The sequence below is a fragment of the Homo sapiens genome, chromosome 18 (genome assembly GCF_000001405.40).
Source record: "Homo sapiens chromosome 18, GRCh38.p14 Primary Assembly".
In the NCBI taxonomy this organism is placed as follows: Eukaryota; Metazoa; Chordata; class Mammalia; order Primates; family Hominidae; genus Homo; species Homo sapiens.
This window is the reverse complement of record NC_000018.10, coordinates 63,526,698-63,545,461: the sequence shown is the minus strand read 5'-3', so window position 1 is coordinate 63,545,461 and position 18,764 is coordinate 63,526,698. Positions and strand designations below refer to the sequence as shown.

General features: G+C 37.1%; 1 protein-coding gene across 3 annotated transcripts in view; it reads right to left on the bottom strand.

Annotated features, from left to right (window-relative positions):
- SERPINB12 (serpin family B member 12) overlaps positions 1-18,764 on the bottom strand; it is a 50,220-nt gene that overhangs the window by 23,868 nt on the left and 7,588 nt on the right. For 2 of the 3 annotated variants that reach the window (XM_011526246.2, NM_001307928.2), the window contains exon 1: positions 2,970-3,093. The exons of the other annotated variant lie outside the window; for it this stretch is intronic. The gene's annotated coding sequence lies outside the window, so the exon portion shown is untranslated. Of the gene's footprint in view, positions 1-2,969; positions 3,094-18,764 lie in introns of those variants that run through there. 3 annotated transcript variants of the gene reach the window in all.

The window sequence follows — 18,764 nt, the reverse complement described above, 5'->3', positions numbered from 1 at the left end:
ATGTAGCTAAACATTAAGGTAGCTTGATAAATCACTAACAAGGGGATGAGAATTTCTTGAGCACTTACTAAATGTCAAGCTGCATTTGGTACTTTACACATGTAATATATCACTGAATGGCTGAAGAAAGCGAGCCTCTCTAGTACCCGTGACTTCAAGTGCCAGAGAATTACACTAGGGTTTGAAAGAAATTTGGAGGTCAACTAGCCTGACAGTGCTATTCAAGGCAAGCTAAAAAAAAAAAAAAATAGTTCTATGTCAACAGGCCGTAAAAATAATGTTTACTTCATCAAGTATAGAGCTAGATGATTCCTCCTAGGTATGTTACAACTCAGCAAGAATTATGAGCCAATCAATAAATCTTTCAGCAATTAGCCTTTTTCTGCCTAGAATTAAAAATTTAAGGAGGCCAGAATGATTCAGCAATCAAAGTCTTTGCCAGTTTATGATGCAAAATGATATGATTAATATTCCCCTACTGATAAAGGCAGTATTTTTGAAATATTACAAAGGGGCTCTTTGTCATTTAATTTTAAAACCCAATATTGAGAAAAGAAAACATGTTTATAGGAAAAATATCAGCATAGACACTTTCAACCTAATGAAAAAATGCATCTTTTATCTAAAGCAGACAGTTTTCCTGATGTTTATCTTGTATCCTCCAAATTTAAGAGTCTTATAACACATAAAAAGAGGAAAAAATCTATTAAAACAACAATAAAGACTAAAACACAAACTCATTTCAAAACTTGCAATCACTCTTAAGATATCCAAAGCCCTTAGTTCTTTCAGCTTCAAAACTGACATCTCCAGGATTGAAAAAATGTCAGCTGTCCACCCCAATATGACAGAGACATAGAGATCAAAGACAGGCAAAGCTATGAGACAGCAAAGAACACATAGAAAAAGCAGTAAACTTGCAATCAGAAGAAGCAGGCCCTGGGCTGAATCTTACTAGCCTGAGACCTCAGGCAACTACATCATGAAAACTTCAATTTTCTCGCCCTTAAAAAAATAAGAATAATAATATGGTTTTCCAAGCTCTTATGTGTTTACAACTATTCACGTTTTTAATATAATTACATAGAATTAGTATTGCACAAAGCTTTATTTTCTTAGCCAAATCTTTATAACATTATCTATTTCTTCCAAAACTGTAAATGAGGACTTCATCCTTCAAATCATGGCTTACAAACTACAGCCTGCAGGCCAAATCCAGCCCTCTGCCTGTTTTTGTAAATAAAGTTTTATTGGAACGAAACACATCCATTCATTTATTACTGTCTATGGCTGCTTTTGCTCTACAATGACAGAGTTGAACAGTGGTAGTGGAGAAGAAATCACATGGCCTGCAAAGCTGCAAATATTTACTATCTGTCCCCTTACTGAAAAGTTTGCTGATCCCTGCTTTAAATGATGAAATACCATGGTTTTTAAAACCTTTGAAGTTTTTATATCCTAGATATATAACCTCTATTTACATACAATAAATATTGTAATATGCTAACAAGAAACATATTTTCTTAAATCTAAAATGTACATTTTGCCCGGGCGCAGTGGCTCACACCTGTAAACCCAGCACATTAGGAGGCTGACACCAGCAGATCACTTGAGGTCAGGAGTTCAAGACCAGCCTGGCCAACATGGCAAAACCTCATCTCTACTAAAAATACAAAAATTAGCCTGGTGTCGTGGCGCACGCCTGTAAGCCCAGCTACAGGAGGCTATAATCCCTGCCTCAGGAGGCTGAGGCAGGAGAATCACTTGAACTGGGGAGACAGAGGTGTTGCTGTAAGCCAAGATCACGCCACTGCACTCCAGCCTGGGCAACAGAGTGAGACTCTGTCTCAATAAAAAAAAAAATAAATAAAAATAAAAATAAATAAATAAAATGTATGTTTTGATTAGATCTTAACCCCAAGCAAAACCCTAATGCCCTTCAGTATTACAGTAAAATAACAGCCTAGACATTCATTTGTTGAACAATTATGTATCAAGTGCCTATAATGTGTCAGGCACTGCATATACATCAACTCAATGAACTTTAAATTAAAGTGATTATCTCTACATTATCACTCCTTCAGAATGAAGCATTCCACTACGAGGGTCTCTCCTTTCAAAGGGATCAGTGGGAAAGGCACAGGTTAGGGTTAGAGCCTTTAGTAAAGGGGACTGCCATTGTCCCTGCACTTATGATGCCTCATGCAATAGGAGCTTACAGTCCAACTAGATGACCTGCATTTAGATACAATAAACATTTTTCAAGGACCTGATATGTAACAGGCCCTTACATACCCATTATCTCATTCATTCCTAATAAGTCAGGAAGAGAGACATTACTATCCCAATATGACAAATAAGAAAACAAGGACTTGGAGAAGGCCTTAAGTTGCTCATAATCATAATGCTAGAAAGTAGCAGCATGATCTAAATAAAGAAAATGTGGTACATACACAGCATGGAATACTGTGCAGCCATTAAAAAGAACAAGATCATGTCCTTTGCAGCAACATGGATGGAGCTGGAGGCTATTATCCTAAGGGAACTAACACAGGAACAGAAAAACAAATACCACATGTTCTAACTTATAAGTGGGAGCTAAACATTGAGAACATATGGACATAAAAAAGGAATAACAGATACTGGGACCTACTTGAGGGTGAAGGATGGGAGAAGGGTAAGAATCGAAAAACTACCTCTTGGGTACTGTGCTTATTACCTGGGTGACAAAATAATCTGTACACCAAACCCCACTGGCATGCAATTTACCTATATAACAAACCTGCACACATACACCCTGACCTAAAATAAAAGTTTTTAAAAAAGAAAGTAGCAAAATAACGTTAGCACCTCCCTGACTCTCTGATCCCAAGAATGAAGACCTGCAACACATATAGCTTCACTACCAGGACAACTAGCCCCCAGAGGCATCTCTACCAACAATAGCTTGTCCACCTCCCAGCACATACCTGGAAGCCAGTGAGGGCTGTCCCCAGCTAAGGTCTGTGCTCTGATAAAGTCAATTCAAAAATCAATCTAGCAGAGGAGGAACCAGGCAAGTCCTACAGCCTGTGAAAACTTATAAGGAGAGGCATTGAGCAAGCTATTCTGTCACTTTAAATACAGGTTTGTGAATCAGGACAATTAACATATGAAGGGGAAAATAAGACATGCATTTATGGCCATCAATTCAATGAATTTTAAGTTAAAGTGATTATCTCTACATTATCACTCCTTTAGAACAAACCGTTCCACCATGAGGGCCTCTCCTTTAGAGGGGAACAGTGGGAAAAACACAGGTTAGGGGTTAGAGCCTTAGTAAAGAGGAAGTGTCATATCTCTGTCCCTTATTCTCCCTAAACAACTTACAGAGCCCTCCAGCCACTGTGTAACACATGAGTTCATAATTTATAACAGAATACACAAAACCCAAGCGGAATATTTTTCATCGCCTATCCCAATGCACACCATCAAATAAATTGAGTAGTGACAAAACTGTGAGGTTCTCAGTCAAGTGTGAAGCTAGACTTTTCAGGTATTATCAACTGTTATTAGCTACTCTATCATGACTGCAACTCCACAGCTGTCTAGGATAATTTCCTGAGCATCCTCACCAGTTATTTTTTCTTCTGGCATCTCAGACTGTACCTAGCAAATAAACAAAAGGTGTCTCTCCCCTCTTCCCTTCTGTCTCTGTTCCTTCTCTTCACCTCTGTCTTCCTCATCTCCTCCATCCCCATTTGCCTCTGTCCCACCCCATCCCATTTCCTTGTCTCTTTCTCCCTCTACTTCTCTCAGTACAAATACCTCAGAAGACTTCATTCACCTGCAAAACTCACTAGATATTACCTATCATCATAGAACAACATCAGCTCTTTTTCAAAACGTGGTTCATATTTGGTTAAGAAAAATAATGCATGCTTGGAGGTTTTCTGAGATATTTTGAGGGCATTTAGTTCAATTTGCAGTCTTAAAGCAAAGCCATGCCCTTGGATTTCCACAAAAAGCCTCCTCCTCTTGAGGGTCCTGTCTCTAAGTGTAACTTTAGGACAGTACACTCAAAATCTACAAAAACCCATCCTGCATCATGATTGAGTGAGGATCATAACTTGGGGAGCACACACTGTCTGCAATTATATTAAAAATGAAGACCCTACCCCACTATATGAGAAAGCCCTATGGTGCTGTGGGTGTTAAAGTTGTGAATGCCTAACCTATAAACCAGGTAATAAGAGGATCTGAGGGAACGAGTGGCATGCAACTTGCAAGCATGAAATTGGGTTCCCATGAACCAGCTTTAACCCACAGAATAATCGTATAATTGAGAATATAATTGTCAAAGCAATAAAAGTTTTGAATTAGGGAGATGGTAGAAAATTTGGGGTAGTTGAGTGCAAATGAATTTTAAATAGTACATGTCATTTGAGAAAATGTTTCAATATTAAAAATACTGAAAACGTAAAGAAAAGTAAAGATAATTTGTAAGCCCATCAAAATCCACAATTTCCTTTTCTCTACACACACTTTATACATAGCTGAGCTCATACTAATTTGTAATTTTGTGTCCTTTTAACATTTAATACTTAAACCTAGATATTTCTTCTTCATATTTTAAAATTCCAATCATAAGAATTATTTGAGTGACTATGTTAATGACATCCATTCTCCTATTAATTAAACATTTAAGTGATTTCTAATTTATATACAAAGTTTTATTAAAAATATCTGGTTTTAACACATTTATCTGAATATCAGATGATCTCCTGAGCATAGAATATCAAGGTGTTAAATTACTGGATAAAAATGCATTAACATTTTTAAGTTTGAATGCATCATGTTGAATTTTACTCCAGAGAAATCCCACCAGCAGTGGGATTTAACAGTTTGTCTGAATCTCAGATTACTTCCTTGCCATAGAATATCTAGGTCCTGAATTACTGGAGAAAATGCATGAGCATTTTTAAGCTGGAATGCATTGTATCAAATTGTTCTTCAGGGAGATCCCATCAGCAGTGGGATTTTAAGAGTTTATCTGAATCTCAGATGATTTCCTTAGCATAGAATATCTAGGTGTCGAATTACAGGATAAAAATGCATGAACATTTTTAAGCTGGAATGCATCGTGTTGAATTGTACTCCAGGGAGATCCCATCAGCAATGCATGGAATGTACTGCCTTTGCACTATTTTGTTTTTCATCCCATTTTCCTCTCCTAAAACCTAGTAACCAACCTCCACTCTCTTCAGGAGAGGAAAGAAAAAGATCAGCATTTTGTACAACTCCTCTAACATAAATCACTCATTTGCACAATCAGACAAGTGACTATTTAGACATTCTACAATTCTTTTGAGCCAAGTTTTAAGCATCCTTCAAGCTAGTCTCTCACCATGGAGTGGAAACAGGGTGTAACCACCTAATTTTCTCAGTATTCTTAGGGGAAAACCAAAGACAAGTTGGAGCCTACCTTTCTTGTGTTATTTTCCCTGTGACTCTAGCACCCAATTGCAATTCTCTATGTCCACGTACTAAGTGTCTCCAGTGGCACCCAGCAATGACTTCTATAGGACACACCATTGAAAAACTTAGAAAGAAGACCACCCTCAAAAACTTAATTTATTTTGTAAAAGTTGTGCACAAAATGGAATCTAAAAGAAACAACATACATGGAAATAATGCCCAGCTGGTTCTCCCTTCTATCAGGAGGGTTTCTGGGAGGGTAATGGCCCCATATCATACCTCCCAGTGTGCTTGGGGAATATAACTCATTTTAGACAAACCCCACCATGCCAGACATTGGTGTACGTGCCCACAAAAAATGACAAGATTTTGCTGTTGCTTTTGTTTTGTTTTGTTTTGAAAGCAGGCGGGGTGGGGTGGGGGGCACCTGATGAGTGGAGGTAATAGATTGATAAATTGAGAGAACAGACATTAATTCCTTGACCGAGACCCAAGAAACAATCCTCCCATATCCCTATATCATATATCTAGAACCTTCTCTTCCTACTTCTGGAGAAATAGGGATTAAATCACTGGGACATGCAGCACCTCCTGGTGCTCATTCAGCTTTGCTGAAAAAGTATGGAAATTTTGTGCATTTTGCTTCTGTTTTTTCAGGGGACATGGGGAAGTGGAATAGACTTTATTTTCTTTAGCACACTTTTAGAATTACTGAAAAGTTGGACAGGAATATAGAGGCCATGCTTTCTTTTTTCACACCCCCTATCCATTCTGACTGAGCCTTTGGGAGGGCCTTGGCTATGGTTGCCAGTGATAGCTACTGGAGACCTCAAGAAGAGTCATGGTCATAAAGGGAAAACAGTGTTGGAGAGAGGAAATAACCCTGGTCAGGGAGGAACCTTCATTCTCTTCTCATAGAGAGAAAGGTTGGTGGTCTCAGCCATCCCAAGTGGATCCCAATCATTTAAATATTGGCCAGAAACAAAGGGGAAATTTTCAAGGAGAATTCACTACAGGCATGAGCCACCACTCCCAGCCACCATTTTTAAATGACCAATATTATTAGTTGTTAGGGAAATGCAAAATAAAACTACAGTGAGATACCGCTTTATACACACTGGGATGGTTATAATTTAAAAACAGACAATAACAAGTCTTGGTGAAGATGTGGAAAAATTGGAACCATCATATATAGCTGGTGGAAATGTAAAATGATGCAGCCACTTTGGAAAACAGTCTGGCAGTTCCTGAAAATGCTAAACATTGAGTTACTATATGATCCAGCAATTCCACTCATAGGTATAAACCTAAGATAAATGAAAACCTATGTCCACACAAAAGCTTGTACACAAATGTTCATAGCAATATTAATCATAATAGCCAAAAAGAAAAAACAACTCAAATATCCATCAACTGTCAAATGGATAAACAAAATGTAGTATATTCACACAATGGAATATTATTTGGCCTTTAAAAATATGAAGTATTAATACATGCTACAACATACATGAACCTTGAAAACATTATGCTAAGTGAAAGAAGCAAGTCACAAAAGACCACATATTTTACAATCTCATTTACATGAATATCCAGAATAGGCAAATCCATAAAGAGAGAAAGTAGATTATTGTGGTTGCCAGGATTAGAGGGAAGGGTAATGAGGACTGCTAATATAGAGAGTTTTGTTTAGGGATGATGAAAATGTTCTAAAATTTATTGTGGTTATGGCTGTACAACTCTGTAAATTTATTTAAAATCACTGAGTTACACACTTTAAAAGGGTGAATTTTATTGCATGTGAATTATATTTTAATAAAGTAGTTTTCTAGGAAAAGTGCTAGACATGTTGCTTTCAACAGATCAAGGCTTCCAGCAGAAGTCCTGGTGCCTAAAGTTCTTCCATACTTTCATATCTTATTTCCATGTTATTTTTACACTCAGTTGTCATTCAACAAATAATCATTGAGCACCTATTAAATACTATGGTAGATGCATCTAGAAGTGAATAAGACAGATCCGAAATTTGCATCTGGTGGAATTTCTCCTATATATTAGAAAAGCCTCATCCATAGCCTTCATCCCACCACAGTCTCATACCTGTTCCACCTACTCTCAACTGATCCAAATGTGCTCCCTCAGGCTCTAAACCTCATCTCCAAGTGCAAAGACTTAATGTTATTTTTGAATAATATTAATTAAATGGTTTCTGAAGATTAGTCATTAAGTGTAAATTAATAAATGTGACAACCTTTATGAGTTTTTTCAAACCATGAACAAGAGGGATTCCATATGGTAAGATTTCATTCAGGTAGTGTTAAAACTCGGGCTTGATTGTTGTAGTTGCCTCCCTAGAAAGTCAGAGTTCTACTGATTTGTTTTCATCTCCCAAGCTTCCAATAACAATTTATTGGGCATGAAAGAATATTCATATAATTTATCCACACTCGTAACAAATGTAGAAATATGGGTGTAGAATTAAATCAAATATCTTTCAAGCATAAAACTGTTCCAACTCTATCATTACCCCTGGTATGTCATCAGTCTAGGAACATGCCTTTGTGCTTTTCTACCATTCTCCTCTGGCCACACCTGAATACATTCTTTCCTTTACTCAATTTACCAAAAGAGAAAACCCAATGCACAAGGTGTACTAGGTGCAGTGCAAGAAACTAGAAACACACAGGTCAGAAGAACACAGTAGCTTCCCTGGAGGAACATGTAGCTTATTAGGAGAGACACAGAGTGCACCTGGTGCCAACCTGCAATCTCTGCAGGCCACTTCTTTACAGGGCCCTAGCTGTCTCCAAACAAACCATTGCTGGCAATCAGTCCATGATGTAGATATGTACTAGTTGATTCTGATAAACATAGGTTTTCATGTGATAAATTTAATCTTCTCTTGATAACATATTTAATTATTTTATATTTACATAGTTGTTCCACTTCCAAAGAGTATATAATCATTCATCTTCAGTTTCTTCTAGGTTTTATTTTTAACTTTTTATTTTTAGTCTACCAAGAATTTATTTTGGTCTACGATGTGAGGTAGGGATTTAAATAAATTGTTTCCCCTAAATACCCAGCCAATATTCCCAGCACTATATGAATTACCAACTCCTCCTTTGATTGGCATTGCTTCTCTTACCATCTAATTAGTTTATATATGTGATAAAGTTAAAACATTTATAAAATAATACTATTATTATTTGTAAAACAAATTATTGTGATAGGTGAATGAAATAATTTATGTATATAAAATACACCATGTAGTACCTAGCACACAAATGCTCTCAACAAAGAGATTAGTTATTTTAGACCAATGGAGATCATCGTTCTGTCCAATCTAACCAATCCTCATTGGGTGAAATGGATGGGGAATGGAAAGAGAAGAATTTTTAGTCAATCTGTGCTTCTTTCATGAGAATAGAAAAAAGGAAGTCATCTTCTCTCTATAAGAAAGACAATTTCTTCTAATATCAATTCCTATAAATTTGCCAAAAATGGCAAAAAGTGGAATCACCTTGTTTTATTTTGCATTTTTTATTAGTTATAAGTTAAGCATCTAATCATATTCATTGGCAATTGTAGGTTATTTCTTTTTCTGTGTCTTTCTATCCATTAATAATTTTTAAAATTGAGTAATTTATATTTTCTTATTGATTCGTACATCCTCTTTTGTTGTTATAAATATTAACTGTACCTATTGTAAATGTTCTTCCATTTTTGTCATTTGACATTTAAATATGGTTATTTCTTTCAAAACGTATGATTTTAATTTTTATTAAATCAAGTCTGTCTTTTTCTTTATGAATTTTTTGAAAGAACTGTTTCTTTTTTATTTTTGCTTGTAATTAATTTCAAATGTATAGAATGTTGTGGGAATACTTAAAAGAACTATATATACCATTTATCCAGATTTACCAATTATTAACATTTTGTCTCATTTGTTTTACAATTCTCTCTATATATACAATATTTATATGTTCTGAATACATATAAATATTTTACATAGAGAGAAAATATATATACACACATATATAGCAACTTATTCCTCAATAGTTCTGAATACATATATATACACACACATCTATGTAACTTATTCATCAATAGTCATGAATACATATATATATGCATGTGTATGTGTGTATATATGTGTGTGTGTATATTTATATATGTATTCAGAACTACTGATGAATAAGTTGCATACATCCTGTCTATTAGCTCTAAATATTTTGTCATTCATTTCCTAAGGAAAACGGCATGCTCTTACCCAACCATAGCACAAGTACTGAAATCTGGAAATGTAACATAATCCACAGTTCATAGTTCATATTCCAATGTCACCAGTTATCCCAAAAATGTCTTTTATGTCCAGTTTTCTCAGTCCAGGATCCAACCCAGGATTGTACATTGCATTTAGTTGTCATATCTTTTTTGTCTTCTAATCTAGGGAAGTTTCTGTGCCTTTCTTTGACTTTCATGGAATTAACATTTTGACGGGTAAGGGCCAGTTATTTTATAAAATGTCCCTTAGTTTGGGGTATTATTTTTAAGTTTCCTCATGATTAGATTCGAGTTACGCATTTTTGGCAAGCACAATGCCTGAGCTATCTCGGGGCATCACCTCGGGAGGCATATCATGTTCCTTTTTCCCATTCTACCTTTGATCATTCTACTTTTGATCATTTGGTTGGGTGATGTCTTGTAGATTTCTCCATTGTAAAGTTATTACTGCCCCTTTTATTGGATAAATACGAAGGAGGAAGATATTTTGAGACTGTAGCTATGCTTGCCCTCATCAAACATTTTCAAATGTTAGCATCCACTAATGATTTTTGCTTGAATCAATGACTACCATAATGTTTTAAAAGTTATTTTCTAACCAGTATTCTCTCTATATTTATTAGTTGGTAACCTGGAAAACTGTTCTGAAAAATCCATAAACCATTAGCAATATTCTGACTGAGCATAGTTTGTCTATATTTTGCTTTCCATCTCTCATCTAAAATATTTTAAGAAAAATATTCTTCCTTTGAGACATTTACTCTGCTCATGGTAAATCTAAGGGTGTTCCACATGCATACGTGCCTGTGGTCTGCACTCTTTTGTTGGTCATAATGTGTTGTGAATGAGACCATGTTCTGCAGTTTCAATTTCCAAATAGGTTCGATCACAGGAAAACAGCTTCCTCCTCCACCCAATCATTATACCAGAAGCCACAAAGACAAATGTGTTATTGCAAAGTGTCACCACTACTGGAAAAGCAACTCATAAAACAAGTACTGACGGCTACAGAGAAACTATATTAGAATGGAAATGAGTACAAATTACCAGGGAGTCTGCTTGATCCGGTTTCTCCTAAACATCTATTCTTTCTACCAGGAAAAAAGAAAAAAAAGTTTGTGAATTTCAGGTTATTTCCACGTTCCACTAGATTAAAGCCTCAGAAATCAAGTCTACAATCTGTATCAGCAGAGTCTAGCTTTTCTGTGCTGGCCAATATCATGCCGGTTCATGAAAAGTTCATAAAACAATTGTATGAGTACTAAGTAATTCAGATTCAGAAAATCTGGTCCTTTTGTGTGATAAATAATACAATAAGGCAGCAAGGACATAGCTGACAAATTCAGGGCCCTTTAACTTTAGTAACTCCCCACAAGTACCCACAGATAATTGTTAGGTGTTTTTTTGTTTTGTTTTGTTTTGTTTTGTTTTTTAATGTGTTGTCTCCTTATAAAACAGACTATCAATTGCTACTAGCCTTACAATTGCTTTTGATGAGTGTGTTCTTTATTTTTAGATTCTAAGACTGTCAGTGAAGCCACATTAATTTAAAAATATTGGTGAGGAATTTTTCAACAAGGCCTGTGAGTTGAGTGACAGGGATTAATTTTTAAAATCATGCCATAAAACAAGCCAGAATCAAGTCTAGGACAAGTAAGACTGGAAGCAGTAGGATGTGTCATTGTGATTTCAAACTCTACCCAGAGCAGTGTTTGTGCATCCCAAAACTACCTCACAAAACAGATTTGTTCTCTGGAGATGATATACATTCTTGAAGAATTCAACCTATTCCCATTTAGTCAGTAATTCTCTTTATGCCTATTTCTCAGCCCCAAAATTTCAAAAAGTTTACATCTAGGAAAATATGAGGGATGGAAAAAAATCTCCCCTTCTCCAAATATGTTTATTTCCCACATGCACATGTGGATTTCTGTAATTCTAAGCTTGTAGATGTATTCCTTTGGCGATGAAAGTTCAAGAGGTGGGAGGGTACACATAAAGGGAGGTGGGAAAACACCAGAGTTACAAATATTCTATTATAGATAGTGTTGTGCAAACTAATCTCTAAAATCCTGGCTCTGGGTCAGCAGTGAAAGATATCAGCACCTATTCATTACAGTCAGGAGGGAATCTGGATTAACATGTTTTCAAAAGGATTAAAACTATGCCTCTGTTCCATTATCTGCAAAATTAAAGGGTTGGATAAATGAAACTCTAAGACTGCTCTCAGCTCTGCTCTTCTATAATTTCAGACTCGGCATTAAGTGTAATTGGGTGCCATATTTGTTCACATGAGAATTGTATGGGAGGACAGTGGACTAACTGGTAATCATATCAAATTGTCAAGGTTGAAAGATCTGATTGAATATCATAGTCAGGATTCAACCTTCTTACACATTCCCAACCACCAGAACTTAAGTTCGATTCATTCATTAAGAAATACGAGGCCGGGCGTGGTGGCTCATGCCTGTAATCCCAATATTTTGGGAGGCCAAGGTGGGCGGATCACGAGGTTAGGGGTTCCAGACCAGCCTGGCCAACATGGTGAAACCCCGTCTCTACTAAAAATACAAGAATTAGCCAGGCATGGTGGTGGGCGCCTGTAATCCCAGCTATTCAGGAGGATGAGGCAGGAGAATCCCTAGAACCCGGGAGGTGGAGTTGCTGTGAGCTGAGATTGCGCCACTGCACTCCAGCCTGGACAACAGAGCAAGATTCTGTCTCGAAAAAAAAGAAGAAGAAACATGAAAGGAGTACTTACTAGGTACCAAAGATTTACATAATAAAAAGCTTCTATTACCTGTTAGGTCAAGTTTTTCAGGCTCAGAAAGGTATAGGAACCCACTACAAACATATTCTGGTCTAAAAACAAGAATGGCGATGGGGTTTGCTTCTGCTGCTGTTGTTGTTTTCCTTACTTTTCAACTAGATTCATCAAACATCACTCAGAAGCCAGAATTAGTACCACCTGATCTGTGGACACACCCTGAGAGGTTAGCAACCCCTCAGCAAACTCCTACTGAACTTCAAGAATCATTTGCATCTACCATAGAGACAACCTCTTTAATCTCAAACAACCTGCTCTTGAAGATGAGTCAGAGCAAGTAAGACAAAACCGTAGAGTAGGTAAAATCTGTCCAAAACTTTCATCTCCTCCTCCAAAATCCCCACTGCTCCTATAGACATACAGTCCAGGGCTACATCACATAATACCCACTTCCTTAATCAGCATTCTCTTGCTGTACCCCAAACCCCCAACATTCAGGCCCCAACCAGAAACTGACCTCTGCCTCACTCCCACAGAAGTGGAAGATGTCAACTAGCTGGTGTGATAAACTAGTGATAAGTGAAAACTTACTATAACCTACGTGGCCTTCTCTAGATGTCCCTGGCCTTGACAGACAACCATTAAAATATCTATGGGGAGTATTTTCAACCATGTGAAAGAGGATGTCAGGGTCCTAGCAACTGTAAGTACAAGGCTGGAGATAAGCAACCCCTGAGTCTCTTGAACTAAAATGTATGATTGTGTCCTATATCTGTGTAGGGTGTCTACCACTGAAAGGATGTCTGCAGTCTTCCCTAGTAGAAAATAAGGTACAAGGAGGCAAAAGTATGAGCTAGAGTCCAAGTGGTCTTGAAATCCATCTGATAGGTTTGTATTAATACAATGATACTATTCCTAAGATCTTGGAAATGCCCAATGATCCTATTTCCCAAGATCTTGGAAATAACTATTTAAATCAGTGGGAATTATGTGATTACATGGTTACCTTATTATGGGAAGTAACAGTCATCCCTAAACCATACTGGCTAGAGGGGCTCAAGTCATGATCTCACAATGCCCTGGGTGCCACAGTTTGGATTAAAATTTTCCTCAACCATATTTAAATAACAGCATTTCCCCAAATCACAGAAATGAAACTTTAATAAATACAATTATTTCATTGAAATAATGTCTTAAACCTTTGGCATTTGTTGCAAGTTATCTATATTAGGACTAGGTATAAGATGATATTTAATTTAGGAGAATGGAAAAACAAGTAACAAATATTTGTTGAATATTTACTATTGCCAGGCACTAAACTGAGTATTTTATTAGTTTATGTCACTTAACCCTCAGTAGGAGACAGGGAATATTATCTCAATTTTACTGATTAGGAAATGGAAACTCAGAGAGGTGAAGTGACTTGCTGAGGTCTCTGAACTCTAAATAGGGTAACTCAAACCCGTATCTTTCCTACTCTTAAATCTTTACTGCCTCAAAAACTATTTGCCTGTATTTACATCCAAAGAACAATGCTATCTGAGTTTGATAGTAAAAATTGCTCTGTGGTCCATCCCTGAATATTTGAGAAACACAGACGTGGCCCAGGTCTTTGACGTTTCTTGTACTTCCCTGTGAAGTTGGCACAAATTAGTAATCCAAATGTTGACTACAATTTAAGAAAGGCCACAGCAACTCAAGCTTAGTGATCTCAGGATCTATAAAGAAAGAGAAAATTAAATGACCCAAGTGAACTCTTCATCCATTTTTGTGTATGGATTCATAATTATCAACAATTGCTCATTGAGTTCTCTTGAGCATCTGGGGTTTGGCAAACTCCTGCACATTTAAGCAAGCAGGCTACACTCTTCAGGCTACAATGTTGTAATGAAAGATTTAGGTCTATTGGGCCTTGAGGAACTCTATGATTTTAAAGAATTGTTTTTTTCGAGCCATGCAGCATACACTTGAGGATTAATTATATTTCTTAGAACAAAAATAATTATGTGGAAGTGCCTGGCACTTAGTAGCTGGTCAGTAGGTGTTTATTAAATATGAAACTGAGTTTCTGAATGGTTCAAAGTCGGCCGCCTTGGTTAGGTTTTCCCAATTCGTTCTCCCCCTCTCTAACCTTCCCCTCCCTTTTAAAGATACGGTTGTAATTACTACCTTTCTGTGACATACTTCACTTAATTATGTACTTATCACCTATAAATCCTTGAAGGAGGGCCTGAGTGTGTGAGCACCATGTATTACACCATCTGTGGGCATCTGATAAGTACTCACGGCCTGATTATGTTGTCAAGCATAACTTGACATCGGGCATTGAGGCAACTCTGAAAGTAAGATATCTCTTCAAGGCAGCAGTGGGACAGCCACCTGACTTTCATCTATTGTTTTGATTGATTCCAACAGTCGTTTAAAGAAGTATCATTCTAGGTCAAGAAGTAGAAGCAAGCCCTGAATCCAATAGAAGGAAGTTCTTCCTCTGCTTCAAAAGCTGAGATATGGAAGTTTGGGGGGAAGGTGGGTCTAGACCTGGGCATCATGTGGCATTCCTTAGAAAAATGGCTGCAAGTGTGTATACATTAACAAACATCAGCACCAAAATGGCAGTGTAACTGTAGAGAGTCCAGGCCTATGGTGGTGTGGTCTTTTTGTAACTGAGAATACTAATCAGGGCAAAGACATCTCCCACCCTATCCTCAAAACACTATCCTTGTGCCAGCAATACTGGCTTCAGCCTTAGGTCACCAAAGAGCTTTGCTTCAGTGGACAGGGATGCCCTACCACTGAAGAGCAACCTGGCTGGGACATTACATACCCAGGTCACCCAGATCATTTACCAATGAAGGAAGTCATGTACCTCGTGCCTGTGTTTGAACAGGGACAGTGACCACAGCAATAGAATGAGACCCCCTCCACAGACTTAGATAGCTTTTTTCCCTCAATATTATAGTATTCTAGTAATCACAATGATTCCTGGGAGCAAGTATGCATCTTGTAGGTTTTTTAATTGTCATGGGAAGGAGTTTCTGAAAAAGGGAAGAAAAACATTACATAATAAGTAAGATGATTAATAAGAGTTCTTTAATTTGAACAGAGTGGATAAAAGGAACCTAGTCTTGTGCCCCAATCAATAAACAAAACATCAGTTTTTAAATGATAAATTATTTTATTTTTTAATTGGCATAATTACGTTTCACTGGTTTAAACACCTCTCCCACCCCAAACTATACATACAGGTAGGTACACACACACACACACATACACAGCACTCCACCAGTTTATGCAGTAAAGTTATGAAAGAATATTCCAATACATGATTTTAAATGAAGTGCTGACATCTGGGCCAGTAGAAAACTGTCAACACATCAAACCTAGCACATCCAAACTGAATTCAATCTATTTACTCCAAGCTGGCTTTTATCTGTGCAAGTTGTCAGAATCAAAATGGAGTCACCTGTACCAATCCCTGACAAAACGCAGCCTGGGAAAGCCATGAAGATAGGTTCTCACACACATATGCCTGATAACAAGAACTATCACCAAAGACTCTCCAAAACCACAGCTGTGCATACAGGCCATCAAAACCTTAGAAAACACTTCGTTGGGGGCATCTGTCCAGCAACCGCCTGACCAACCTTGGACTGATGCCATCCTTGCTATTGATTCTTGTAGCCAAAGATAACGGATTCAAGGCAACTTACATAATCCTCCTTGTTTTGCCTTCAAAAACTTCCCCTTGCCTGAACCTCTTTGAATACACATGTAATTTACTAAGACACATGTATTCCCATTGCAATGCTACTCCTGAATAAATATTTTTATTTAGAGAATTTTCCTCTCTGTTTGTTATTTAGTCTGACATCATAGTGTCCAGAAGCAGGATAGAGTGAGCTCGCCTCACATGGATCAATGGCCCCTGGAACTGAGTGTGGTCCCAGCAGAGCCCTTTGCACTATCTACTTCCAGGAGTTGCCTTTTCTACCCTGATGAATCTCCTCTCTGATTCTTGCACTCCCTCCTTTTGATGAGTTCTTTTGACTTTATTTGGGATCTTCTCTTTTGGTATAAGACTGCCTTAAATGAAGGACCCTGCATCCCTCTTGAGACTATAAAGTCTTTTTTGGCAAGCCCTTTCTGATATAAAGACAAGTGTCCTTTTGGAGAGTACTCTAGCTTCTACTGAATTTACATTCCATTTGTGAGGACCTCATTTTTTTCCGGTGAATTCAGTTTGGGATCTTTTTACATGCCTAAGTTATTTTTGTTTGGTCTGCTTGCCTGGTCTAAAATTTTTGTGAGCACTCTTTGATTTCATCTTGGTTTGGCCACACATGTCTGTAAATTATCCGGCTATTTTACTTTTTTCCCCTTACCTCATTTCTGAACATCTCCCAAAAGTAAAAATGAACATTCCATATGGTAGGCACAAGATGGCCAAAATTAAAAGACACTAGGGCAGTATCCACCATCTAAAACATTAGTCCAAACCCCTGACATGGCCTGATAGGATTTATAGGATTTATTTATTTATTTATTTATTTATTTATTTATTGCTCTCAGAGATTAAGAAATGAAATGGGATTCTCAAATCTTGAGGCATGCCAACCTTTCTGTGACTCCAGCCAGCTATCTGTTCAAAATTTATGGTCCATTCTTGTATATATTTTTAATCAATGGACAAATTACACCAAGGATAATTTGTGGCTATTAAACAGATCATTCAAACTCCCTAAACTTATTTTTCTTAGAAGTTTCCTAGCTAATTCTCTATTACTGTATTAGTCCATTTTTATGGGGCTAATAAAGACATACCCAAGATGGGGTAATTTATAAAGAAAAAGAGGTTTAATAGACTTAAAATTCCATGTGGCTGGGAAGGCCTCACAATCATGGTGGAAGGCAAGAAGAAGCAAGTCACGTCTTACATGGCAATAGGCAAAGAGTGAGCTTGTGCAGGGAAACTCCCCCCGTATAAAACCATCAGATCTCATGAGACTTATTCACTATCATGAGAACAGCACGGGAAAGACCTTCCCCCATGATTCAATTACCTCTCACCAGATCCCTCCCACAACATATGGGAATTCAAGATGAGATTTGAGTGGGGACACAGCCAAACCATATCAATTACCTATTGATGTTGATTCTACTTGAGTAATTTTAATTCTATGTTTGTGAATTGCCTTTCTTAAAAACTTTCCCAGTTTGTTAAAGGAGTTCACACAGAATGGGAAACTATGCCCACTCCCTATCTAATTAATTTAGCAAACCAACTTGCCTACACTCTTGAGGAAGCTACTACAAAGAAAACCACTAAAACCCTTAAACTTCAATTACAGCAGATAGAAGCTCCCAGTATAAAAACTAGTATAAAAAAGCAGCTCACTGGAAAAAAAATATTGCCACAAAAGCAAAAGGTCCATGCAATCTTTCTCTCAGCTTCCACTTCCCCCACCAGAAGACCATTCTCAATGACAGCCTCTTGAGGAGTCATCCCTTTTAATGTAAATTTGGATTTGACTGTCTAATAATCACTTAGAGTAATGGAACTGTTATTTGAAGGATTGATAGTCTGAAAGGAAAGAACTAGATAAATGTTCTTATGAAAAGCTTCCAGGTCAAACAGGTCAATATCTTGAGCTCAGAGCTATAATATATCTCTGTCCAGCATAAAATTTACTTGGTCTGCCATAAAATAAAAGCAAATACATTTTTATAAAATGCTTCCCTGCCTGCATTGACTAGTCAAGCAAACCAGACCAGCAAACAAAGGAAAATTTGTTACTAAAATTTAAGACCACTTGGAGATGGTCTCGCACAATTCAGCCAATTCTAACTATAGTCATATACCGCATAACAACATTTCAGTCAACAACCGACCACATACAGGACTGAGGTTTCATACGATTATAATATGTATTTTTACTGTACCTTTTCTATGCTTAAATATGTTTAGATACACAAAAATATGCCATTGTGTTACAATTGCCTACAATATTCAGTACAGTTACATGCGGCACAGGTTTGTAGCAACAGGCAATACGATATGGCCTAGGTGTGTAGTGGCTATGCCATCTAGGTTCATGTAAATACACTCTATGATGTTCCTACAATGAGGAAATCATCTAATGACATATTTGTCAGAATGTATCCTCATCATTAAACAACACGTGACTGTAAAATGTAAACATTGAAAGAATTAATCTCTCAACTCACTTAAAATTGAAAAGAGAGGTGAAAACATGGT